The 26892-nt window shown below is 36.9% G+C and overlaps 1 protein-coding gene across 14 annotated transcripts in view; it reads right to left on the bottom strand.

Annotated features, from left to right (window-relative positions):
• The window catches only part of BABAM2 (BRISC and BRCA1 A complex member 2), a 450193-nt gene that overhangs the window by 294905 nt on the left and 128396 nt on the right, over positions 1 to 26892 (bottom strand). For all 14 annotated transcript variants that reach the window (NR_137438.2, NR_137440.2, NR_137439.2 and 11 more), the window contains one exon: positions 18577 to 18771. Coding sequence is in view for 10 of the 14 variants with exons in the window: in NM_001329112.1 (NP_001316041.1) it covers positions 18577 to 18771 (195 nt within the window). In the remaining 4 variants the exon portion in view is untranslated. The remainder of the gene's footprint in view (positions 1 to 18576; positions 18772 to 26892) is intronic.

Below are 26892 nucleotides of genomic sequence, written 5' to 3'. Positions count from 1 at the left end.
GCTGAGGCAAGCCAGAGAGAGTGATAGAAGCCACTGTGCCACCAGGAATGCCAATGGTGAGAAAAAGGATGGATGCTCAGAGCTGAGTAGCTATTCTCAGTATTGAACGCCATTATGTGCAGGCTACTCACAACTCAACACTTGGGAGAATACTTAAGAGCCACTAAGGATCTACAAATAGCTCATCATGGTGGGTGGGAGAAGGTTTGTGAGATCCTATTATAATTCTTGCCTTCTGTTACAGTCCAAGATTACCAAAAGGTGTGGTTTTGGTATTATGCTGAGCTCCTAGATGACTCTAAAACTAACATACTCTGGTAAGTGTGGTTCTTTGGATCAAGACACAGCTAAACCTAAAAAGGTCTGTTTTTAAGTACAAGGGGTCATACTTTGAAAGGGGTAAGTGTAGAGGCAACAATAACAGCATAGAGTTAAATGGGAGCTTATAAAAGGGACACCTAGCCCAGTGAGAATCTGGGAGTGTAGAAGGAAAGACAGAAAAGTCTTCCCTTAGCACTGTGTACAGTGCCACAGAAGAAGGACCACTCATAAAAGAATACATGCTCCAGGCCAGGCACATTGGCTCATGCCTGTAATACCAGCACTTTGCAAGGCCAAGGCAGGCGGATCACAAGGTCAGGAGTTCGAGACCAGCCTGGCCAATATGGTGAAACCCCGTCTCTACTAAAAATACAAAAATTAGCCAGGCATGGTGGCATGTGCCTGTAATCCCAGCTACTGGGGCGGCTGAGGCATGAGAATCCCTTGAACCAGGAGGAGGCGGAGGTTGCAATGTGCCAAGATCACACCACTGCACTCTAGCCTGGGCGACAGAGCAAGACTCCGTCTAAAAAAAAAAAAAAAACATGCTCCCAACAACTGTCCACATTCTCTTTCTCCTATATAATTAATTTTTCCCTTCTTTACTCAATCACTTTCATCAGCATATAAACATCATTTTTTTTATTTTTTTGAGACGGAGTCTCACTCTGTCCCCCAGGCTGGAGTGCAGTGGCGCGATCTCAGCTCACTGCAAGCTCCACCTCCTGGGTTCACGCCATTCTCCTGCCTCAGCCTCCCGAGTAGCTGGGACTACAGGCGCCCGCCACCACGCCCGGCTAATTTTTTGTATTTTCAGTAGAGACGGGGTTTCACCATGTTAGCCAGGATGGTCTTTATCTCCTGACCTCGTGATCGGCCCATCTCGGCCTTATAAACATCATTTTTAAAATGTTTCCATTCACTTCATATCCTTCTTCAGCTCCCATTTCATTTCTCTGTTTTACTTTAAAAAATAATCACCTGTAAAAAGTTAATCTATATTTGAGGTCTACATTTCCTCTTTTATTATTTTCTCTTAAGCCCTCACCAGTCAGCCTTTCCCTACCACCACTCCACCAAAACAGTTCCTCAAGGTCACCAATGACCTCCCCATTGCCAAATTCAATGATCATTTCTCGGTCTTTATCTTAGTGTTCTACCAGCAGCATTTGACACAGCTGATCACTCCTTTCCTGGAACATTCTTTACTTGGTTTCCAGAGTCCCAGTTTCTCTACTTCACTGGCTCTCCCTCTGGTCTCCTCAATCCTTGAACATTGGAGATTGGGGTATGCCTGGGCTTAACTCTAAGACCCTTTTCTTTATTTACATGCCCAGATGATCTCATTCAGGCTCATGACTTTAAATAATGTATATGCTGATGACTCCCAACTTGTGTATCTTCATCCCAGACCTTTTTTTAAATTCAAATTTCATTTATCCAACTCCTATAAACAAAACTAAATTCCTGATTTTGTGCTCTTCTCTTGATATTTATTCCTCATTTCAGTAAATGGCAATTCCATTCTTTCAGTCACGCAGGCCAAAAACCTAGAGTCATTTTTGACTTCTATCTTTCCCTCTCACCTCACATTCAAAGTGGCGGCAAAATCTTGTTAACTCTCCCTTCAAAATATATCCTGAGTCTCCCTTCAAAATATTGACTTTTGGACTCTCCCTTCAAAATATATCCTGAGTCCAACCACTTTTCACCACCTCTCTAACCACCTGATCTGAACCACCTTTATCTCTACGCCTGGACAACTGCAATTGCCCCTAACTCTGTCAGCCCTTGTTCACCTGCAGTTTATTCTCATGACAATAGGCAGAGTGATTCTTTCAACATGTCACTTGGATTCTAATCCTCGTTTGCTCAAAACTACCAAATGGTCAGGATTTAGCTCCTTTACAGAGTAATTTGACAAGTTAACAATTGAGCAAAGATGGAAAGAGGGTAAGAAACAAACCATGTGGAACTGAAGGAAAAACACCCCAGAGAACAAGTATAAAAAGGGTTGATGCAGGCGTGTGCCTGTGTTCAGGGGATGGCAAAAAGGTCGGGGTTACAGGAGCAAATAAGCACTAACACGGATCAAAGTCACCCAGAAACTCTCTCCTCCATGGTATGAGCAATTTCTAAACCCCTGGAGGATGTGCAACAATCATTCATAAAATTAGTGAATAAGAAAATGGCTACTACATCTATGTGGAACAACTGTGAAGTTATTCCTGGGGATGTTGAGGCAAGCTTTTAAAAAGTACCATGAGATTCAAAGAGTTTGGGGAAGGGAATTGGAGGGATGATGATAAACCAAACTCAAGTCATTTCTTCATTTTCAGTTTATAAAGCAAACCACCTACCAATAAATAAATAACCATTTCTGCCTACTAGTGTAAAATGTCAACCTGTAACCTGTAAATTAAAATGCAATTTGAAAACTTTTAAACTCAGAGGTGTGTATATATATATGCCTGATTTTACATATACATACATAAATAAACAACAACAAAAGTGAAATGTAGGATTTTAAAAGTTAAAATAACTCTTGTACATATAAGGTAATAGGAAAGATAATTACATATTTAGCACTTGGACTCATTTGAACTGCTAGTTATTTTAGTCCATGCACTGCATTTTAGCTCTTTTGCCCTATTTTAGCTTGTACAATGTATTTTTATTCTACCAGCTATTTTAGACCCACATTCTTTTAAAAACTCTTAGATGATCCCTACTTTATTCCTTCTCAAAATGTTGATCCTAGAATTAATACAAATTTGTGTTTATTGGCAACAGGCTGATTTACACAACTAATGTCATACTGAAAGAAATGTTGGTCCCAGGACTAATATAAATTTTTGTTTATCAGCAACAGGCTGATTTACACAACTAAATTCATAATAAAAGAAACAATACTATGAAGGGAATTTGGGAAACCATAAAAAGCACTTTATGATTGCCAACTTTCAAGCCTATCATACATTCCTTATTTTGCCATTGGAAGAACAAAGAAAACTCAGCACTTGTTTCTGACAGCACTGGAAATGTTGAACGCTAAGACTCAAGAATTCAGTTTTTCGGCCGGGCGCGGTGGCTCACGCCTGTAATCCCAGCACTTTGGGAGGCCGAGGCGGGCGGATCACGAGGTCAGGAGATCGAGACCATCCCGGCTAAAACGGTGAAACCCCGTCTCTACTAAAAATACAAAAAATTAGCCGGGCGTAGTGGCGGGCGCCTGTAGTCCCAGCTACTCTGGAGGCTGAGGCAGGAGAATGGCGTGAACCCGGGAGGCGGAGCTTGCAGTGAGCCGAGATCCCGCCACTGCACTCCAGCCTGGGCGACAGAGCGAGACTCCGTCTCAAAAAAAAAAAAAAAAAAAAAAAAGAATTCAGTTTTTCATTCTGGCACTGATTTTCCTTATGACCTATAAGCTAATCATCTTCTGTGAAACTGAGTACATGATAATTTTAAAACAATCTTAATGTAAAATTAAGTTATAAACTGTAAATGAAGAGCAAAACAAGTGAAAAATCCTTGTTCTACCTCAGATAATGACTTTTCATGTGGTTTTATATTTGAATTTCCAACAGCTATTCAAGCAATTTATGGTCACTCAGTTGTAATGTCAAAGATTGCTTTCACAGCAATCTTTCCTGTAAGCTGAAAATGAGACATTTAGATGCCGCCAAGTGAACAGAATAATTTGATTTTTTTTTTTTGTCAGTCCTTGGTCAAAATCTTCTCTTGGATAGATGCAGAAAATTATCTAACCTATGACTGTTAAAATGTCAGCCTTTCTGCCAACTGTCTTAATGGCAATTTCCCCAGCATTAGCAATAAATATGTGCATCTTTCCTTTTTTCAAGTTATAGTACGTTGGCAAGCAACTTAAACTAACAAGACTCTGAGTTTTGGCAATTTATTAAGTCTAAGCTTTGCTTTTGGTAATCACAGCTGTGACAGTTTTCTTCTCCTTTTAGAAGTGACAGGTAGACATTTTGTGCAGAATGGAGTCCAAGTTCAGGTTGTTCTGTAAGGGAAAATTTTACTTCCTTTCTTAGAGGCACTTCCCTTGTCAACAAACAAGCTTTTATCTGAAATTGACTGCTCTTACCACTTAGACAGCTAAAAGCTAAGAAACACTCAAGTGATTATAACTTTAGCTGGGTGACAAACTGGTAAGGCTGATTCTTCAAATGGACTCTGAAAACCAGTGAGCCTAAATCTGGAGATTGTTCCTTAGCACATGCATACATATACACTAAATGTGAAAAGGAAAGTCAAAGTTAGTCTAACTAGAATTTTATAATTTACAAAATGTTTTCTAAGATATGTCATTTAATTATCCCAAAACCCTGCTTGGTAGATACAATTCATTTATACTTAGAAATGAAAAAACTGAGGCCTAGAACAGTCAAGAAACTTGCCTACAGTTATTGAGAGAGTAACAAAGAGTCACAGAGCTCAACCTCAAGACTCAAGGTGTATTCATCCATTCACGAGTATGTATTAAGGGCCTAAAATGTGTCAGGCACTCCGCTAGGCATCTAGTGAGTAAAAGAGACAGGACCACTGCCCTTTTGGAGCTTATAGTCTAGTAGGTGAGTCAGATATCAATCAAAATAATCACTCCTATCAATTATAACCTGTGTGGAGAAATGGGAATACTTAAACACTGTTAGTGGGAATGTAAGTTAGTTCAGGCAGGTGGAAAGCAGTTTGAAGATTTCTCATAGAACTAAAAATAGAACTACCATTTGATCCAGCAATTCTACTACTGGGTACATACCCAAAGGAAAATAAATCGCTCTACCAAAAGGACACCTCCACTTATATGTTTATTATAGCACTGTTCACAATAACAAAGACATGGAAACTACCTAGGTGCCCATCAGTGGTGAACTGGATTTTTAAAATGTGGTACATATACACCATAGAATACAACACAGAAATTAAAAAAGAACAAAATCATGTCCTCTGCAGCAACATGGATATAGCTGGAGGTCATTATCCTAAGGAAATTAATGCAGAAACAGAAAACCATATACCACATGTTCTCACTTATAAGTGGGAGCTAAACACTGAGCACACACACACATAACGATGGGAACAACAGACACTGGGGACTCCAGAAGGAGGGAGGAAAGAAAGGGGACAAGAGCTGAAAAACTTCCTATTGAGTACTATGTTCACTATTTGGGTGGCAAGATCAATAGAAACCAAAACCTTAACATCACACAACATAACCCTGTAATAACCCTGTACGTGTACCCCCTGAATGTAAAATACAAAATAAATAAAATAAATTATAACCTGTGATAAATGCTATCAAAGGGCACAGTGCTCTGAGAGCAAATTCCAGGAGGAAATGAACCATCTAGGGTTGGGGGCTCATTACTTGGAGGGAATTTTTTTTAAAGCTAAGTCAAAAGACCACATGGAAAAATAAATAACACCAGGCAGGAAAAGTCTAAAGAAGAAAAGCAGTGAGAGGGAACTGTACATAAAGCATAATTTTTCTCTGGTTACTTAAGATTTTCTCTTTATGTCTGGTTATCAGTATTTTTACTATAATGTTTTGTTTTAGTTTTTCCTTGCATTTATCCCAGATGGGGTTTGTTGAGCTTCTTGAATCTGTAAATTTCTGTCTTTCACCATATTTGGAAATGTGTTATTTTGTCAAATACTTTCCTGCCTTCTCCCTTTCTCTTCCCCTTCTAGGACTCCCGTTTCTTATATATTAAACATTTTGATACTATCCCATAATATCAAGGCTCTGCTTTCCCTTCTTCCAAGTATCAATGTCCATCCAGTATCTGCCTGCTTTGATCACTCTCTAGTGTTTTCAGGCAAATGGCTCTATATTTTGCTCGGAGCTCTGAGCTGTTGTGAAGAGTTAGGTCAACAGGAGCTACTTGGCCGTGACAAAAAGTGCAACTTGACAGAAATCTACAAATATTTTAATATACTGTTGACAATACTGTGGAGAAACAACCACTTTCATATATTGCTGCTGGTTTAATAAACCTGTATAAACTTTATGGAAGTTACTTTGACAATAAAATTATGAACACATAATCTTTGATCCAGTAATTCCACTTCTAATTATTTATCTTACAGACATACCTGAACACATGCAAAGTGACATATATACAAGATTATTTATTACAGTATTGTTTGTAATAGCAAAAGATTAGAAGCAAACAATATCCAATAATAGAGTTCAGATGTAATAATAATTCAATTATACAATGTAATAATATACAATTGTAAAAAAAGAATGAGGGAGTTCTATATATGTTTATACAGAAAAAATCTCTGAGCTATATTGAGTTAAAAGGAAGATCCAAAACAGTGCATAATATACGTTACCATTTGCATAAAAAGGGGGAATATATATTAGTATTTGCTTATATATGTACAAACTAACTCTGAAAATCTATACTAGAAAAAATTTATATTAGTGCTTACCTGGACAGGAGGAAAGTGGTATGATTTGGGTGGACAAAGGACAAAGATGGGAGGGAGACTTTTCACTATATTACTTTACATAGACTTTGATTTTTGAATAATATGAATACCTTATCCATTCGAAAAAATTTTAAGGAATTTAAAAAAAACTAAAAGCGTATATAATAAAATGTCCACAATTCATGCATTATTCATTCATTCATTCATTGAACAAATATTTACTGAGCACATACTGTGCCAAGTACTAGGCTAGATAATGGAGAACTTAAGACAAAACAGTCTATGTGTCCTCAAGGAACTTAAAGTCTATTTTGACTAGACTGGCAATTAAACAAAATAGTACGACATGGTAAGTGTTTTGACAGAGATATTCACAGGACGCTTTGGAAGTAATTTAATCGGGACACTCAGTTTCCAGTGACAGAACTCCAATTCAAACTAATTTGAACAAACAAAAGAGAATTTATTGAAAGGATATGAGGGATCTCATGAAACCTAAGGATAAAAACATAGCATGGCCTCAGTTCCAAGGATTCTAATACCCACAGAATTTTCTCTTAGTCTCTTGTCTCTGCTGTCTCTGTACTTCATTTTCCTTTCTATTTGCCAGCTTCTGATTCTTTTGACCAGATGTTATTAGAAAAAAGTTCCCAGATTTACATGTTACAGACCAATTACTCATACAGAGACCAATCTCACTCCCTCAGTACTAACTCCAAATTCCCAGGGAAGAATTCTGTTTGGCTTAGGTTAAGCCTCCCTGATCTAATCAACACATTTCCACAGTTCTTTGAAGTAAATAAGTTAATGGTACCATGAATTCTTGAAAATAATTGAAAAACTAGGAAACTCTTTTCTGAGGAAGGAAACAGCTTGCATCATTTGTACATTTCCGAAAACAATTTTTTAAACACCTTAAGAGTTTTCGTACAGAATACTTGAAATGTAGGATTCTTTTTGTCTTTTGCCTTTTAGTACATGAAAAAAAGGCATTAAAACCCGCCTCAGCTGGTCCTTGGACAACACTTGTCCATTTCCTTCATGGCGATAACACTGTGCAAGGAGTGCACCCTACATCTAAATGGCCACCAAAGAGATGGGGCAATGCACCCATCAGTTCAGAACAAATGAGTGGCCTCACAAAGATAAGTAAGGGGGCGCAATTAGAGTCCTTCCTCACATGCTGTTCTGAAAAGTATAGGCAAAGGAAATGGAAAGGATTTCCTTTGTGTTTCGTATGCTTCCTGAAAATAAGATCTTTTCCACTTGATGCATCCTGCTGCTGAAAGTAACTTGAATTTCCTACTGATACCTCTACTATTTAAAAAACAGTAACAGAGTTCCTTTGGAATATCAGTATGATTTTAAAAGTTATAATCTACACCTTTAATATTTTGAGGTATAAAGTAATTTAGGTATCCACACACTACTTTTTATTAATAAGGTTAAAAACCAGAAATATAAGCTATTGTAAGCAAGATCTTAAGTATTTCCATTGACATGCAAGTCAAAATTCAGTACAACAAATTCCATTACAAAGACAATTAAAAAGGGAGACACTGTCATGGTTCATTTATTTTACATAATGTCCAACTCCTAACAGTTCCGTGTGGTTAAAAACAAAACTAAACAAATATGGTCAATTCCTTGGAGTATACTGTAGCATATCTGACCGCCACACTACACCCTTTTCAAAGGAGCCACCACATGTTAATCCCCATGTCAAATGCCATCAGGACATAACTCCCAAGCAGCAAAAATTAAAGGGAGATTATAGGTGAAGGTCCCTGCATGCCCTGCTATATATGGCTGACTGGCATGACCAGAGCACCTACTACATCCTCATGCCAGTAGGGGAAAGGCCATCCACTTCCAGGCTCCCCAGATATTTTTATCTTTCTCTTAGCAACTCTTGCCCTCCTCTCCTATCACGCTAGACCAGTGCTGTCTGAAAGAAAAATAATGCAAAGTACAAATGTGAGCCATATATATAATTTAAGATTATTTAACATTTTCTAATAGTCACAATTTAAAAGGCAAAAAAAGACAGGTGAAAAGCTAATAATACATCCCAATATATCTAAAATATTAGCATTTCCACATGCAATCAACATAAAAATCATTAATGAGTTTTTTTGTACTAATTCTTCAAACTCTGGTGTGTATTTCCCACGTGCACACATCTCAGTTCAGACTAGCCACATTTCAAATGCTCGATAGTCACATGTTTGACTAGAAGCTCCTGTATTGGACAGCATAGTTCTAGACATTTTCCCATTAACGTTAATCCCGACATTAAGGTAAACACTCCCTGCCACAAATACCTAAAGACCTACGTAAGCTGCCAAATACCATAAACCTGAAAGATTCCTCACAAGCAGATTGATAAATGTCAGCGGGTTAATGGGAATGACCATGAGACAGCCTCTTTTAGCCAATATCTTTTTTCTTTTTCCTCCAAAAACTGTCTAAACCTATTGCCTTTCCTTCCTCTTCTCCACCTCTCTGCCTAATTCTCTGAAATCTGTTTTCCCATCCTCAGAAGTCCATCAGAACTGCTCCTGGTAAGATAAGCAACACTCTCTTTTTCTGATTTTCACTTTTACCTTGCTCTCTACACTTTATCTGCACCTTGGAGGTCACAGCCTCTATTGGTCACATATGGTAACTTTATGATTAACAGCATTTTGAGAGATCCTACAGGAACAATCATTGAAGCGGCACTTATTGAGCACCTGTTATAATAACTTACAACAAGAATATACCAAAAAAAGCTAATAGTAATAATAACACTTTGTATTACTTGACTCCATATTTACTTAACTCTCTGTTTCCCACACAAGATCTAATTTAATCTTTGTGTCAAGGTCCAGACAACAATGTAGTTATCTCCAGGAAAGTGACACATGGAAAAACCTAGAGTCACACAAAAAGAACGGGTGGCAGAATGAAAACCCAAAGCTCCTGCCCCCTAGATCACTCTCCCTCTCCAACACATCTTCAAATGGCCTCTGTGTAGAGGAGCTCACACTCAAACATTGCTCAGATACTTTCCCTTTGCACATGATATTGCAGCACGATGACATGAGGGAAGCTTAAGACATTAACTCAAGTGAGGAGATACCATAAAATGGCTCCTTTCTTTTCTCCACAATATTTTTAATGTTGCCAGAGCTTAATGGATAAGCCAAAGATTTTTAAAACCTTACTAGGATTTGGGTCAGATACAAGCAAAAAAGGTAATTGTCTCACATCCCCATTATAAAAGCATAAATCATTATTAAGGAAAAAATATGTTGCTTAAAAAACTGTTTTCTCTCACAGATCACCCATTGATGATTTTTATATGTAAACTATATGGTTTTGGAATACCTCAAAACTTACATTTCATATCTCAAAAAAAAAAACACTTTAATCAAAATGTTAGGTATGATAAGCCAACTTTAAGTTCTGGAAATCAAAACAAATCAAAATAAAATTCACAAATTTGCTTATTGTGCTTTGTTGCAATTAATAAACACTGTGTTTGAATATCTGTCCTCTCCAAAACTCATGCTGAAATTTAACCCCCAATGTGGCAGTATTAAGAGGTGGGGCCTTTCATGGGTTACTGGGTTAATGGATTCATGGGTTATCATAAGAGGGGAACTGGCGGCTTTACAAGAAGAGAGAGATTGACCTAAGCGAGCATGCTAGCATGCTTAGCCCTCTCGCCATGTGATGCCTTGCACCATCTCAGGACTCTGCACAGAGTCCCCAATATCAAGAAGGCTCTTATCAGATGCAGCCTCTCAACCTAGGACTTCTCAACTTCTATAACTGTAAGGAATAAATTCCTTTTCTTTATAAGTTATTAGTTTCGGGTATTCTGTTGTAAGCAACAGAAAATGGACTAAGACACACTGGTTCTTCTGATACACACATCCATGACAAAAATGTTAACAAGGCAATATAAAATAGAGATAATAAATAATAATAATAGTGGCAATATAAAATGAAACCTTAGGATTTACCCATTGAGAAAATGTATGATGTATCTTTTTTTGATATATCAAAACAGGATATATACTTTCAATAGCAGTTCTTACATTATGGGAATTCGTCACTTTAAAATTATGATCTTAAAAATAGCTCTGCTCAAACGGGTAGCAGTAGAGATCTTTGTGGTAATGGAATATCTGCATCTTGATTTCAATAGTGATTACAGGAAATTACGTGTGTGATGAAGTGGCACAGAACTATACACATACATTGTACCAATGTCAATTTCCTGGTTTCTGTATTTTTTTATAGTTACAGAAAATCGAACCACTGGGGGAAACTGAGTGAAGGATACTCAGGATCTCTACTTTGCAACTTCCTATATATCTATAATTATTTCAAAATGAAAATGTTTACAAAATATAAAATAAATACACTTTTAAAAAATGACTCCGAGCATGCAGGCAGAAAAGTCTTCTTCATTCTTAACATTAAGCTTGCATCCCAATATGCATCTGTTTTCACCTGTTTAGAGAAACAGGGGTTTCCTAAACATTATAGTTTTATAATTATTATTACTATTTCTTAAACATTATAAAACCAGCATAGACAAGGACTACAATGTCTAAAAATCATTAAAAGAGATGAGCAAAGCAATAAGGAGAAACAATTTGGTAAAAATACAACGGTAAAGAATTAGACAATAAAGAATGGGTTTTTTTTGGTTAATGTTTACTTTCAAATGTGTGCTTGCTCAAACTTCTAAATGGAGGTTCAGGGGGCAGGGAGAAGAGTGTCTGCATAGGGTGGGGAGAATAGTGTATTTCAAATTCGCAGACTTGTCGGAAGACTGATAGTAAATCAGAGCCCTTTTCCTCTTCTACATGGTAACATTTTCCTCATGCCAGCTGATAGTAAAAGGAAGAAGCATATCAGGTTTTTCAAAGCCTCATACTTTTAGAGCAGGAATGTTTTTAAGAATATAAATGTATGTGGCAGAAAGAAAAATTCAGTGATGACAACAGTAAAGACCATCCTCTCTAACAGATACAGACCTGCATAATGCAAAGGGATTAAATAATCATTCCTAGTCTTAGATTCTTTATAGCAAGCATTTATCAGATGGACTACTTGGACCAGAAAAAACTAAAATACTTGAATTTCCATTCAGATCAGGAAGAACCTATTGATTCTTATAATGTTTCATTTAGAGAATATACTATTTTCATGTTTTAATTAAAAAATATCCATTTATTTCATACAAAAATGTCCTCATGCTGCAAAATGCCACTAAGACATAATAGATGTGTTTTACTGATCAGTAAGCCAGTTGAATATATGCTTACAATTCTATTCCCCATATATGTCATGTCCCTAAGTTTTCCCCAGTCATACAACCCACTGAACATCTCTCTTGAGAGAGCCATCTACGTCCACCTTCCTTCAGGGTCTAGCTCAGTTGGCCAGTAAAGGCTTTCCTTGGTTACTCCCTTCCTCAGTGATTGTCTCTTCTGCTGAATGCTCACACAGCCTGTATATTCCATTTGAGATGTAATCTATCCAGTATTGTTCAAATTCCTCTTTTAGAGATACAGATTAAACCTTCCAAATTGGATTTTAACAGTCTCAGGAGCCAAGGCCATATCTGATCTACTTTATTTTTTTTTAACCCAAAACCTAGCATAGTAGACTTTCCATAAATCTATTAGTCCCATACTGGCTGAGCCCTACTAAAGTGCATCTTGTTAGTTTGGTGCAGCATTCCAGCACACAAAAATAATTTTTAATGTTGATTCTGTAATCTTGCACAATAGCTATCTTTTCAAGCTCTGTGCTAGCAGAAAAAAGAAATGCATACTTTGTATGGGTTCATTCAAGTCCCTAACAAAACCCTTAACAAGACGGGGTCAAAGGAAAAGCCCTGTGACATTCCACGAAACACCTGAGGCTGGTAAGAGTTATACCCAAACTTTTAGGTGGAACGCTTCCACAGATCCCAACAACTAAGAAAGGAGCATAAGTCAGTGGAATCCTAAGAGAGAATGACCAAGTGCCTCGCTGAAAATGAGATCATCTAAGTTTATGATACTACCCTTCCTTAAAGAAGTAAACTAAGTTTGTCATGACAGTTTCCCAGTTACCCAACTATTTTTCCAATTGACTACTGCATTTTTATTTTAATGTTTGCAAATCATCTACTTAAAGATCTGAACTTAATTTCTTTAAAAATCTCCAGGATGTTGTTATTTATAACAGTCTTCTAGGATCTTTCTGCTTCTCTAAAATTTCTCAAAGATAATGTCCCAGAGAGCATATCTGCAAGTTTCTTTAGTACCCTGAAACGGTTTCCTTTAGAGCTTCCAGAAGGCATGCAGCCTTGCCAACCCCTTGATTTTGGCCAAGGGAGACCCATTTTGGACTTCCGCCCTCCAGAACTATGACATAATAAGTCTGTGTTGTCCTAAGCCACCAAGTTTGTGGTAATTTTTACAGCAGCAATAGGAAACTAATACAGTCCCTGATTCAAAAAAATCTTGGCTCAAAATCAAGCTCCTTTCTTTCTGCCAGGGTCCAGTGTTTATCTCCAGACTCTTGGTCTATATTTTTCCTCCATTAGCAGGCTGTCCTTTAATATTCCTGAACCCTCATGCCAAGCTCTAATTTGTTCATCCCTCAAGACTCACTTTTATACCCTGTTTCTTGATCTTCCCTGATTCCAACTCATAGTTTTACTTCTACAGACTCAGCTACCATTTCTACTAGGCCTTCCCTAGGCCTGGTCTGCTGTAAGCTTTGCCTTGTTACAGGATTCTCAGTTTCTTTACTTCACTTGAATCCATAACCATTGCCCTAATGTTTACAAACTACTTAACATCAAATCAAAATAAACTGAGATAAGTGTAGCAGTAGTAGGTTTTGTAAGTAAAGAAAGGAATATCGGTAACATTAAACAGAAAGTTTAAAAAATACTATAAATACAAACTATCTGCTTGAAATGAATTTAAACTTCTACACCTAGATGAACTACAACTCAAGTATTAGCTGAGCCACTGAATAACATTTTGAAAATTATTAGGTAACAAACGGTGCCATAAAACTGGATTATATTCAAATTCACTATTATTATTAAAAAAGGGGGAATGAGACAGGAAGGCAAATTCTAAAAACCAAAGACTGGTTAGTTTGACAGCGATTCCTGTTTTCAGATGAGCCTGTCAGCACTAAAGACAACACATGTTCACCAAGAATTAACCTAACACCCATTTATGTAAGGACAATTAAGTTGATTATTTAATAGGAAAATGCTGGGGATAGAGGCTAAATTAAGTTCAACAAAGTTTTCCTTATGAGCCATATAAACATATTAACATTTCAAAACAATCCATAGTTTAAGTCTGAACCATGCACTGTTGATGGGAATGTAAAATAGTGCAGCCCTTAAGGAAACAGTATGGAAATTCCTCAAAAAATTAAAAATAGGATTATATATAATCTAGCAATCCCACTTGTAGGTATATATCCCAAAGAACTCAAAGCAGAATCTCAAAGAGATAGTTGCACACCTATGTTCAATGTAGCATGATTCACAATAGCCAAGAGGTAGAAGCAACCCAAATGTTCACTGATGGATGAATGGATAAGTAAAATATGGTAAATACACTCAATTGAACACTATGCAGCCTTAAAAAGGAAGGAAATCCTATCACATGCTACAACATTGATGAACCTCAGACATTATGCTAAGTGAAATAAGCAGTCACAAAAAAACAAATACTATACAATTCTACCCATATGAAGTATCTAAAGGAGTCAAAACCATAGAAACATAAAATAGTAAAGTGACTGCCAAGCGCTGGGGGGAGGAGGAATTAGTGTTTAATGGCTTCCTTTGCAAGATGAAAAAGTTCTAGAGATCTGTTGCACAACAATGTGAATATACTTAACACTACTGAACTGCACACTTAAAAATAGTAAAGACGGCAAATGTAGTGTTATGTGTCTTTTACTGAAATATAAATTCAAGACTTTACAAAAGGAAAAAAACCTTGAACTGAACAAACAACTTGATTTGTAATAAGAAAAATTTTAGTCATGCTGATTTGAAGGCATTAATCATGTGTAAAACCTTAAAATCATAACCTTTAAGAAAAAGCCGAAGAGGCCAGGCATGGTGGCTCACATCTATAATCCCAGCACTTTGGGAGGCCAAGGCGGGTAGATCACCTGAGGTCATGAATTCAAGACCAGCCTGACCAATATAGTGAAATCCCGTCTCTACTAAAAATACAAAAATTAGCCGGGCGTGGTGGCATGCACTTGTAGTCCCAGCTACTCAGGAGGCTGAGAGAGGAGAATTGCTTGAACCCAGGAGGCGGAGGTTGCAGTGAGCCGAGAGTACGCCACTGCACTCCAGCCTGGGCCACAGAGTGAGACTTCGTCTCAAAAAAAGAAAAAAAAGAAAAAGAAAAAGCTGAAGAATAAAAGCCGGAGTGTTATTTAGCCTAAAAAAGACAGGGAAACCTAAAAGAATTAGCAGAGAAGAGCACCTAAACTTTTTCTGTGCTTAATGAGAGTTTATTCATTCATTCATTCATTCAAAAACGTTTATGGAATACCAATGAAGTGGAAGACACTGTTCCAGGCGTTTGTGATTTACCAGTGAACAAAACAAAGATCCCTGCCCTCATGAGATTTTACATTCCAATGAAGACAGACACACAATAAACATAATCAATAAGTATGGTAGGCTCCCTCTAAGTGGCTCCCAGCGGTCTCTGGTATTCACATTCCTATGTAATTCTGCGTGTGGGTGGCGGGGAGGGGCGGGGGGTGTAGGTGTGTTGGGAGGGTGGGATATTGGACCTAACAAATAGAATACAGCAAAAGTGATGGGCTGTCACTTTCAAGATTAGGTTATAAAAGACTATGACTTCTATCTTGCTCACACACTCCTTCTTGCTCTCCCCTACTTGCTTGCTCTGAATCTTGTGCACTGCCCTGTAGAGAGGCAAGGAGTTGAAGGCGGCCTCCAGACAACAGCCAGCACTGAACTGAGGCCCTCCATTCGATGGCCCATGAGGAACTGAACTACGCCAACTATTAAATGCATGCATTTATAATGACTCCATCTCCAGTCGAGCCTTGAGATGACCAGAGCCCTAGCCAACACTTCAAGCACAGCCTGTGAGAGACCCTGAGACAAAGGACCTACCCAGATTGCTGCCAAAAACTATGATAATAAATGTTATTGTTTGAAGCCACTAAGTTTTGGAATGATTATTTTACATAGCAACATATAACTAATACATTAATTATATGGCATGCCAAAAGGAAATGCAAAAAAACCATGTGGAGCAAAGTAAAAAATAGAGGAGAGGTGCAAGTCTTTTTTAAAAAAATGTTTAAACAATGTAAAAAACAATGTTTAAAAGGGGTATTACCAATACTTACACACGAATGCTTACAGCAGCATTATTCATAAAAGTCAAAAAGTGGAAACAACCCAAGTGTCCATTAATTGGTAAATGGATAAACAAAACGTAGTATGTCTATTCAATGGAATATTATTCAGCCATAAAAAGAAATGAAGTACTGATACATGCCACAACATGGATGAACCTCAAACATAGGCTAAGTGAAAGAAGTCAGTCACAAAAACCACATACTGTATGATTCCACCATAAGAAATGTTCAGAAAAGAAAATTGATAGAAACAGAAAGTAGTTTAGTGATTGACTAGGGCTGGAGGTGGGAACAAGATTAACTGTAAGTGGACATGAGGGATCTCACTGGGGTGATGGAACCATTCTAAAACTGGATAATGGTGGTGGTTGCTCAAATCAGCCAACTTATTAAAAATCATTTAACTGTACACTTAAAACAGGTAAATTTATGATATGTAAATTATACCTCAAAACGGCTACTGGGGGTGTTAACATGGCATCATTGAGAACATAACATTAGTAGAAGTTTGAAGGAAGAGTATTAGCCATGTGCATATCTGAGGGAAACATCTCTGACAACAGAGAGCCTATGCAAAGACCCTTGGGCAGGAGAATACCTGGTGTGCTTGCTGCACAGCAGGGTGCCAGTGTGGCTGGAGCTGAATTTGAAAGAGGAAGGTAGGAGATGAACAGACAAAATTAATGATGGATGGAAGATGGTGGTGATGGGAATCATACAGAGTTTTGTTTTTTCTTTTTTTGGGGTTTCTTTTATATATATATTTATATATTTTTATATATATTTATATATTTATATATATATTTATATATATTAATATATATTTATATATATATTTATATATATTAATATATATTTATATATATTTATATATATCTATATATATATAAATATATATATCTATATATATAAATATATATTTATATATATTTATATATATAAATATATATTTATATATTTTTTATATAAATATATATTTATATTTTTTTATATATTTATATAGATATATATTTATATATAAATATATATTTATATAAAATTTAAGTTGTGGGATACATGTGAAGAACGTGCAGGTTTGTTTCATAGGTACACACATGCCATGGTGGTTTGCTGCACCCATCAACCCATCATCTACATCAGGTATGTCTCCTAATGGTATCCCTCCCCTAGCCTCCTCCCCACCAACAGGCACCGGTGTGTGATGTTCCCCTTCCTGTGTCCATGTGTTCTCACTGCTCAACTCCCACTTATGAGTGAGAATATGCCATGTTTGGTTTCCTGTTCCTGTGTTAGTTTGCTGAGAATCATGGTTTCCAGCTTCATCCATGTCCCTGCAAGGGACATGAACTCATCCTTTTTTATGGCTGCATAGTATTCCAGGGTGTATATGTGCCACATTTTCTTTATCCAGTCTATCACTGATAGGCATTTGGGTTGGTTCCAAGTCTTTGCTATTGTGAACAGTGCTGCAATAAACATACGTGTACATGTGTCTTTATAGTAAAATGATTTATAATCCTTTGGGTATATATCCAGTAATGGGATTGCTGAGTCAAATGGTATTTCTGGTTCTAGATTCTTGAGGAATCACCACGCTGTCTTCCACAATGGTTGAACTAATTTACACTCCCACCAACAGTGTAAAAGCATTCCTATTTCTCCACAACCTCTCCAGCATCTGTTGTTTCCTGACTTTTTAATTATGGCCATTCTAACTGGTGTGAGATGGTATCTCATTGTGATTTTGATTTGCATTTCTCCATATAGAGTTTTTTATACCACTGGAAGGACTTTGGCTTTTACCATGAGAGAAAAAAAGAGAAGTACATAAGGTTCTGGGAAGAGAAGTGATAAGGTCTGACTTGATTTTTTAAAGGATCATATAATTATAAGTTGCAAAAAGAAAATATAAAAGGCACCATGTAAGCTAGCTGCTTCCAGAGTTACTGACCTCTCTTACCTGACTGGGATATTGGAGAAGTCTTCCACTCAAAGGAGGGGGAAACTTGTTAGTGTCTCAAAATGTGGCCTGCAAGCCACATACATCATAACAACATGGAGGCTGGTAGCACGTGCAGGCCCTCAGGCTCCACCTCTGACTGCTGAATATCTGGGGCTGGGGATGAGACTCTGAATCTTACAAACTTCCCAGGTAATATCTTTGAGAAACACAATGAACTAGACAAACATTAAGGTCTCTTTAAACTCTAAATTATGAGAAACATATAGGCTACCTGGACCATGTTTATCTAAAGAAATGACTAGGATTTACAAATGGACATATGAATTGATTATTTTATTATGGATGAAGTCATCTTTTTTTCCATTCTCAAAAATCCTTACCCAGTTGTTTTTTTTCCCAGCATAAATTTCCATGTTCTCTCCATACTGTGGCTCCTCCAGTAATGTCTGGTATTCAAACATGAGGCGGGAGCTCTCCCGGAGGCGGCTACATTGGAATTGGTGATATTGTTGCACAAGTTCCTTCACCACAAGTAAGAGACATTCAGGATTTGAAGGATTCCAGGAGGCAAGATTCTGTAGAAGTCGTAACAAATAAAAGACCAGTTAAAACTGAAATTTCATACAAATCCAGTATCACATTCACACATCAATGTAGAGGAAAAGAGTAATAGAAATCTAAGAGGAACAGACTACTCCTCCTTAGCCATATACCCAGAGATGAAGTTAGAGAAATCTTTTGATATTGGCAATTTCTCCTGCCTTCTAAAAAAATCCTTGCAGAAAAATTGAGAAGGAATTCCATCATGAATAGGCAGAAAAAGTGAAGTGTAAAGCCGGGTAGTAACAAAACAAGAAACCTAAATATCCTAGAAGACCATAATTTTAGCCCTGGAAGACTTAATTTGTTTCTTATTCTTTTATAATTTTAATTTTTTTGATCTCTACCTAAATTCAGCATTATATGCTAAAGTAATTCAACTCAGATCCACAGACCATCTGTATCTGTAATACCAGATATAAATAAACGCTCTGTAAACACTAGAGCCTCACAGAAATATAAGCACAATGGTGACGGTTAGGCCTGAAAAAGATAGGCATAAAATAGAGACATGGGAAAATGTCTGCCAAATGCGCAAATCTGAATAACCACAGTTCATCCGTCAGTCACTCCTCCAAGTGAAAAAGGATGGTTCCAAGAAAAAAGCAGCTAGTTCAGCTTGGAACTCAATCACACTCAGGATTTTCCTTGAGACAACGTACTTAGGTATGCAGTAGTCCTCCATGTGTACTCTCATTGTGTCGCACAGAATATTGAAAGCATGTGTACTCAAGGGTTATGACTTTATAAAATTCATAGTTTTTGTTACTTCATCAAAGACTTTTTTTTTTTTTTGAGATGGAGTCTCGCTCTGTCGCCCAGGCTGGAGTGCAGTGGTGCGATCTCGGCTCACTGCAAGCTCCGCCTCCCGGGTTCACGCCATTCTCTTGCCTCAGTCTCCCGAGTAGCTGGGACTACAGGCGCCCGCCACCAGGCCCGGCTAATTTTTTTTGTATTTTTAGTAGAGACGGGGTTTCACCGTGTTAGCCAGGATGGTCTCGATCTCCTGACCTCATGATCCGCCCGCCTCGGCCTCCCAAAGTGCTGGGATTAGAGGCGTGAGCCACCGTGCCCGGCCAAAGACATTCTTAAGTGAACTGTCGTTGTTTTTTTAACTGAGTATGTGTGACAACAGAGAATAAAATAACCATGAGTATAGCTTGACGTCTGCTGTGGTTAATGCCAAGTCATCAGTTTTGCCCACCACTGCTTCTGCAACGTAAATGCAAACATTAACACTGTAAAAAAGATGCCATAATATCTTAATAAGATTATGAAAACAGTTTTGACTTTGCAGACCCCTGAAATGGTCTCAGGGATCCTCAGAGGTCTGCAGACCACACTTTGAGAACCATCAACACTACTTTATATTGCCTTAAGGACAAACCAAGCATAGCTTCTACCAAAAGAAAACAAAGAAAAAGTAAAGGAATGCATTTTTTAAAGGAATTACTTTGCTCTACTGAGTGAGTTGATTTATAGGAACTAAATGACAATGGGGAAATTCATAAGTGTTCTTTCATTTATAGGAAAAACGGGTCTTAGGATGTTCAGATAAAGATGATGAACAGAGGAAAAGGTAAGAGCTTCAGCATCATACAGTGAATAAGAGGGGTATCTTGATATGAAAGTGATTTGATAAGTAAAGTACAAAGTTTTCCCTGGCAAATCTGTTGACCTCAATAGCCAGAAACTCCTTCTGAGCTGTTCAAGACTAAATTCAAAGTATCAGTAGGATATAACAGCACCGTATAGAACTTAAAATGATCCTAACATAGCTTGCTATGCATTTCCTTCAGAGAGCATTGCTAAACATTTATAAGCAAGAATAAAATACAATATTTCATTTCTTGGTCAAGTATTCCTTACCAGTCCTCATTCCCTACTAGAGCAAAAAGAAAAGTTAGTTGTCTTGATTTATATTTTTTAAATTCTGTCATTTCTCCTTAGTTATTTGGCAAGTTACAGGCCTATATCCAAACAATTTTTAAAAATTATAAAAACATATAAGTTGGCAACATACCTTACCAACTTGAATTCATTTCAAGTGATTCAAACAAATGGTTAAAGACATACCAACCAGTCTCCTTCCATTAAAATATAATTTCTTTATTGATCTCCTTAGCCATTCAAGGCAAACTCACTGGAAAACACTCCCAATCAAGGATGGTTTAGCTATACTAAACAAGATAAAAATTCCTCTAGTATTGCTACACGACCACTTTTACTTGTTAGGTAATTTGTGGTTTGAACCACTTTGCCTAGAAGGGGAGAAAACAGAAGATATATAAAGTTTTAGTTACTCCCTAAGAATAGGGCATATTTTAAAAACAGGTCTGGCAATACAAGGCATTGGAGCTTTCCATTCTCTTGAGTAGGAGATACAGAAAAATGCCCAAAGCTCCTTCAGGGAAAGAGGAGGAGGAGGCATAAGTTAGCAGGCATCTATGAAAAAGAGAAAAATAAGTGTTTCTCTCTCTATTCACAAAGTTCTTCTTCTACATCTTTTTGGTAATGCTTGAAGGAAGAAATCTGAAATGAAGATGGTCACAAAGAGTAGGCACAGGGCACATCACATATTAACAGAGAAAAGAGCATACAAAAAAGGATTCCAAAAATGAGGAATGAAAAACGCATTCAGAGAAAGTGATAAAACACAGTCAAAGAAAATAAACAAAAGCAAAAGAAAATTCACTACTATTTTATAATAGAAACTTCATTCATTCTCACAAAAACACCTATGAAACAGTTCAGGGAAGGTATCACGCCAATTCTTTTTAAAGACTAGTTAACTAGAGAGATTAAATAACTGCTCACATTCACGTGTAAACAATAATTGAGACTGTGTAGAATGTAAATCTGCCTACTCTTCCTCCAATCAGTTAACTAAAATATCAGTTTTGAACCAACGAACTGGCACTTGCCTCTTTGTGGTCATGAGCGAACTCATGAATAGTGGTAATTTTGAATTGTTTACTTTGGCTCCCCTGTCTAGGCTGCCTGACAGGACCAGTGCTCCAAGTTCATGTGACCCCTCACCTTCCCACATTTCTCTCTCGTAAATACACTCCATCACGTACCTATGTGCTCCCATATCAATAGCTCCGCAGACTTGAACAAGCCCAACCAATCCTCAGAGCTCCTCCTTATCAGAGCTTCCTTCTTCAGAAAGACAGTGAGGAATAGTAGTTTCAAGGCCTAGCTCACCCTCAATTCCGGTTCCACTTATCAAAACCCATAGTTTTTTGGCCACAGTGCCACAAATTTAGACATGCGCGAGGATACCTATAAACGGAAAACACTGAGAAACAATGTAGTCTGTCCATGTCTGTGGGGAGATAAAGGAGGAAACTAAGCAAATGAAGAAATGAGACTTAGAACCATCTCTGCTTAAAAAGGGAGGGAAAAAAATCTTCCGGGGGGAAAAAAATTATTTAATGAAATTAATCTTATGATAAAAATGTTCAACTAATAAAAGGATAAGGTACAGGAATACATTAGAAATATAACAAGAAAATTATCAAAAACTTCTTACTACAAAATTTTGCCCAACTCTCTAGCATATCGATAAAATAAAAGGAAATTAAAAGAGACTGACAATATATGAAAAGTATGCAAGCCCATTAGTGTTAAGGAAGTATAATTTTCCTAATTTCTCCTTTTTAATAAACTAATTTTTCATTGAAAAAGTAATATATGCACACGGTAAAACGAATATTTTTTAAATGGCATAAAAGAATGTAAAGAACAATATTAAGTCTCCCTCCAGCCTATATTATGAGATCTTCTCCCTAGAGAAGATACTTTCCCCCACACAGGGCCTGCACACGGCACCAATGTCTGACCCTTCCTAAGTTCCTCCACATGACCCATGGCTCTGCCACTCTATGCTGCCTCTCCCACTCTTTGAAGCTCCAAACACTGCTTCCATGGTGCATGCTTCCCTCAGATCAGTGTCTTACTTTCAACTTATTATCCTGATAGTGCTTCAGCTCCACAAATTGTTTCTGGCTCCCATGGAACCCTCTGATTTGGCCTGTCCCTCACCCAGCATTTCCCACAAGAGAAGAAAGTTGGGCAAAAATTATGAGAAACAATGTTTATATCTTAAATTAGTCAAGTTCTTTTTTTCAGCAAACAGCTAATGTTGGTGAAGATATAATTTCATGGACCTTTTACACAAGGAATTGTAAACTCATACAAGTAGTTTGTGTGTGTGTGTGTGTGTGTGTGTGTGTGTGTGTGTGTCAGAGAGACAGAGAGTCTTAGAAATGTTTATTCTCAATGCCTCTAGAAATCTTATTTCTGGGAATCTAGCTAATCTGCAAATAACTAAAAATAACGGGGGGGACTTTATAGACAGAAATACACATAGAGTCATTTGTAATATCATGAAACTGCAAACAATCTAAATACCTGATAATAAGAACTGTTTTAAAAACTGTTAAAGTAATTCAAATAAATAATCTGCAACTATGTTTCTATACTATTACAGTATGTTTATACAATTATATATATAATTTATAAACAATTACAATAGCACAGAAACAATTGCAATAACACAGAAAATACTTTTGTTAAAACACTAAATGAGGAGAGATATAAATCTATATATACATTATGATTACAACTTGGCTATCCCCATCCCCTCCCAACCTTCCACAGCAAAAACCATCTTAACATGGAAAATTTATTGGGAGAAATGTTGATAACTGATATCCATAGTTGGGAGCTATTTAAAAAAGTTTTTTGCTTCTTCCTGTTTTTCTGTATTTTCCAAATTTTCTGAGTGTATATACATGCATATGTATGTATGCATATATAAGACATGCACATACTTTCATAATGGAAATATAACTTTTAAGAAAACATAATAGCATACTTCACATCTTTTATTTCACACTTCACATATTTCATTTCTGTTTTTCAATCTCAAAGTTTAAGAAATTCCATTTGTCATTTATACATTTTATGACGTCAGACTCCAATTGTCTCTTCTACACAACTAAAAAAGTTAGCCAGTGCCATAACCGTCTGGAAAACAAATCTTGCATCATTTGGCCCTAAACACGTATGCTTCAAGTAACTTTGAATTTACTATTTCTTAAATTCTGAGCCTTGCAGAACATTTCCAGAAAGCTAATGCAACATGCTAAAGTGTAGTGGTCACAGTTGAAGCAGTTTATTGTGCTTTCCTTAGCCAAAACTCTTTTGTGTTGCATTCATCTAAATGCAAAGTCTTACTAAGCAAAAAGAACAAATCTGGAGGCATCACATTACCCGACTTCAAACTATACTATAAGGCCATAGTCACCAAAACAGCACGTTACTGGTATAAAAATAGGCACATAGGCTAATGGAACAGAATAGAGAACTCAGAAATAAAGCCAAATACTTACAGCCATTTGATCTTCAACATGGCCAACAAAAACATAAAGTGGGGAAAGGACACCCTATTCAACAAATGGTGCTGAAATAACTGGCAAGCCACCTGTAGAAGAATGAAACTGGATCCTCAGCTCTTACCTTATATGAAAATCAACTCAAGGTGGATGAAAGACTTAAATATAAGACCTGAAACCATAAAGATTCTATAAGATAACATAGGAAAAACCCTTCTAGACATTGGCTTAGGCAAAGACTTCATGACCAAGAATCCAAAAGCAAATGCAACAAAAACAAAGATAAATAGATGGGACTTAATTAAACTAAAAAGCTTCTGCACAGCAAAAGAAACTATCAGCAGAGTAAACAGACAACCCACAGAGTGGGAGAAAATCTTCACAATCTATACATCTGACAAACAACTAATATCCAGAATCTACAAAGAACTCAAACATATCAGCAAGAAAAAAAAAATCTCATTAAGAAGTGAGACACGTGCACACCTATGTTTATTGCAGCACTATTTACAACAGCAAAGACTTGGAACCAATCCAAATGCCCATCAATGATAGACTGGATAAAGAAAATGTGGCATATATATACCATGGAATACTATGCAGCCATAAAACAGGATGAGTTCATGTCCTTTTCAGGGACATGGGTGAATCTGGAAGCTATCATTCTCAGAAAGCTAACAGAGGAACAGAAAATCAAACACTGCATGCTCTCACTCATAAGTGGGAGTTGAACAATGAGAACATATGGACACAGGGAGGGGAACTTCACACACTGGGGCCTGTCAAGGGTTGGGGGGTAAGGGGAGGGAGAGCATTAGGACAAATATGTAATGCATGTGGGGCTTAAAACCTAGATGATGGGTTGACAGATGCAGCAAACCACCCTGGTTCATATATACCTATATAACAAACCTGCACGTCCTGCACATGTATCCCAGAACTTAAAGTAAAATGTTTTAAAAAGTGGACTAAGGACATGAATAGACAATTCTCAAAAGAAGATATACAAATGGCCAACAAGCATTTGGAAAAATGCTAACATCACTAATTATCAGAGAAATGCAAATCAAAACCGTAACACAATACCACTTCAGTTCTGCAAGAATGACCAAAATCAAAAAATAACAGATGGCGTGGATGTGGTGAAAAGGGAACACTTTTACATTATAAAAGTAAAAAAAGGGAATGTAAACTAGTACAACCACTATGCAAAACAGTGTGGAGATTCCTTAAAGAACTGAAAGTAGATCTACCTTTTGATCCAGCAATCCCACTACTAGGTATCCACCCAGAGGAAAAGAAGTCATTATATGAAAAAGATACTTACACATGCATGCTTACAGCAGCACAATTTGCAATTGCAAAAATGGGGAACCAGCCCAAATATTCATCAATCAACGAGTGGATAAAGAAAATGTGATATATATCATGGAATACTACTCAGCCATAAAAAGTAATGAAATAATGGCATTCGCAACAACCTGGATGGAATTGGAGACTATTATTCTAAGTGAAGTAACTCAGGAATAAAAAAACAAACATCGTATGTTCTCACTCACACGTGGGAGCTAAGCTACGAGGACACAAATGTATAAGAATGAGGACACAAAGGTATAAGAATGACGCATTGGACTTTGGGGACTCAGGAAAGGGTGAGGATAGCAAGAAATAAAAGACTACACGTTGGGCACAGTGTACACTGCGTGTGTGATGGATGTACCAATCTCAGAAATTGCCACTAAAGAATTTATTCATATAACCAAACACCACCTGTTTCCCAAAACCTACTGAAATACAAAAATTAAAAAATTTTTAAAAACCTGTACACAAATGTTCATAGTAGCATATTCCTAATAGCTAAAAAGTACAAACAACCCAAATGTCCATCAACCAATGATGAATAAATACAATGTGTACACACATACAATGGAATATCATTCCACAATAAAAATACTGATTCATGCTATGACAGGGATCAACCTTGAAACATTAAGCTGTGCAAGAAGCCAGACCTAAAGGCCACACATTGTATGAATCCATTTATACAAAATGTCTACAAAAGCCAAATCTATAGGGACAGACTGTAAATTAGTGGTTGCCTAGGGCTGGAGACTTGGGGGAAAATGAGGACTGCTAATGCATACACAGTTTCTTTTTGGGAATGATTAGAATGATCTAAATTCACTATGGTAATTGATGACTGCACGACTCTGTGGATATACTGAAACAACTGAATTTTATACTTCAAATGGATGAGTTACATATCAATTAGATCTCAATAAAGCTGTTGAAAAGGAAAAAAGTAAAAATCTTTCTACAACTTAGTAATAGTGCATTAGGTAATTTCTAATTTTAAACTTCTAATGTCTATAATCATGAATAAATTATACAGAATATGCAGAAAAAAATAAAATAAATGGGAAGTCTTAGGAAATCACCAACAACATTTTACATTTCTAACAAAACTGGAACTGAACAAGCATGATTTTTTAAAATGTCACTCCATCTGCAGAATACCAAGGATAACAACAAAAATAAATTTGCTATTGACCTATTTGTAAGAGGACCAAGTATTATCAGCAATAAGTGTTTACACCGTACATTTTGTTAAGTATGTATAATTCCTCTAATATATCATCTAAAACAATTGAAATGAAATCATTTTAAACATATTTTCCTAATTTCTTCAAATAT

Source organism: Homo sapiens, chromosome 2 (assembly GCF_000001405.40).
Source record: "Homo sapiens chromosome 2, GRCh38.p14 Primary Assembly".
NCBI lineage: Eukaryota > Metazoa > Chordata > Mammalia > Primates > Hominidae > Homo > Homo sapiens.
Note: the sequence above shows the minus strand (reverse complement) of the source record. Positions and strands in the feature narration are given on the sequence as shown.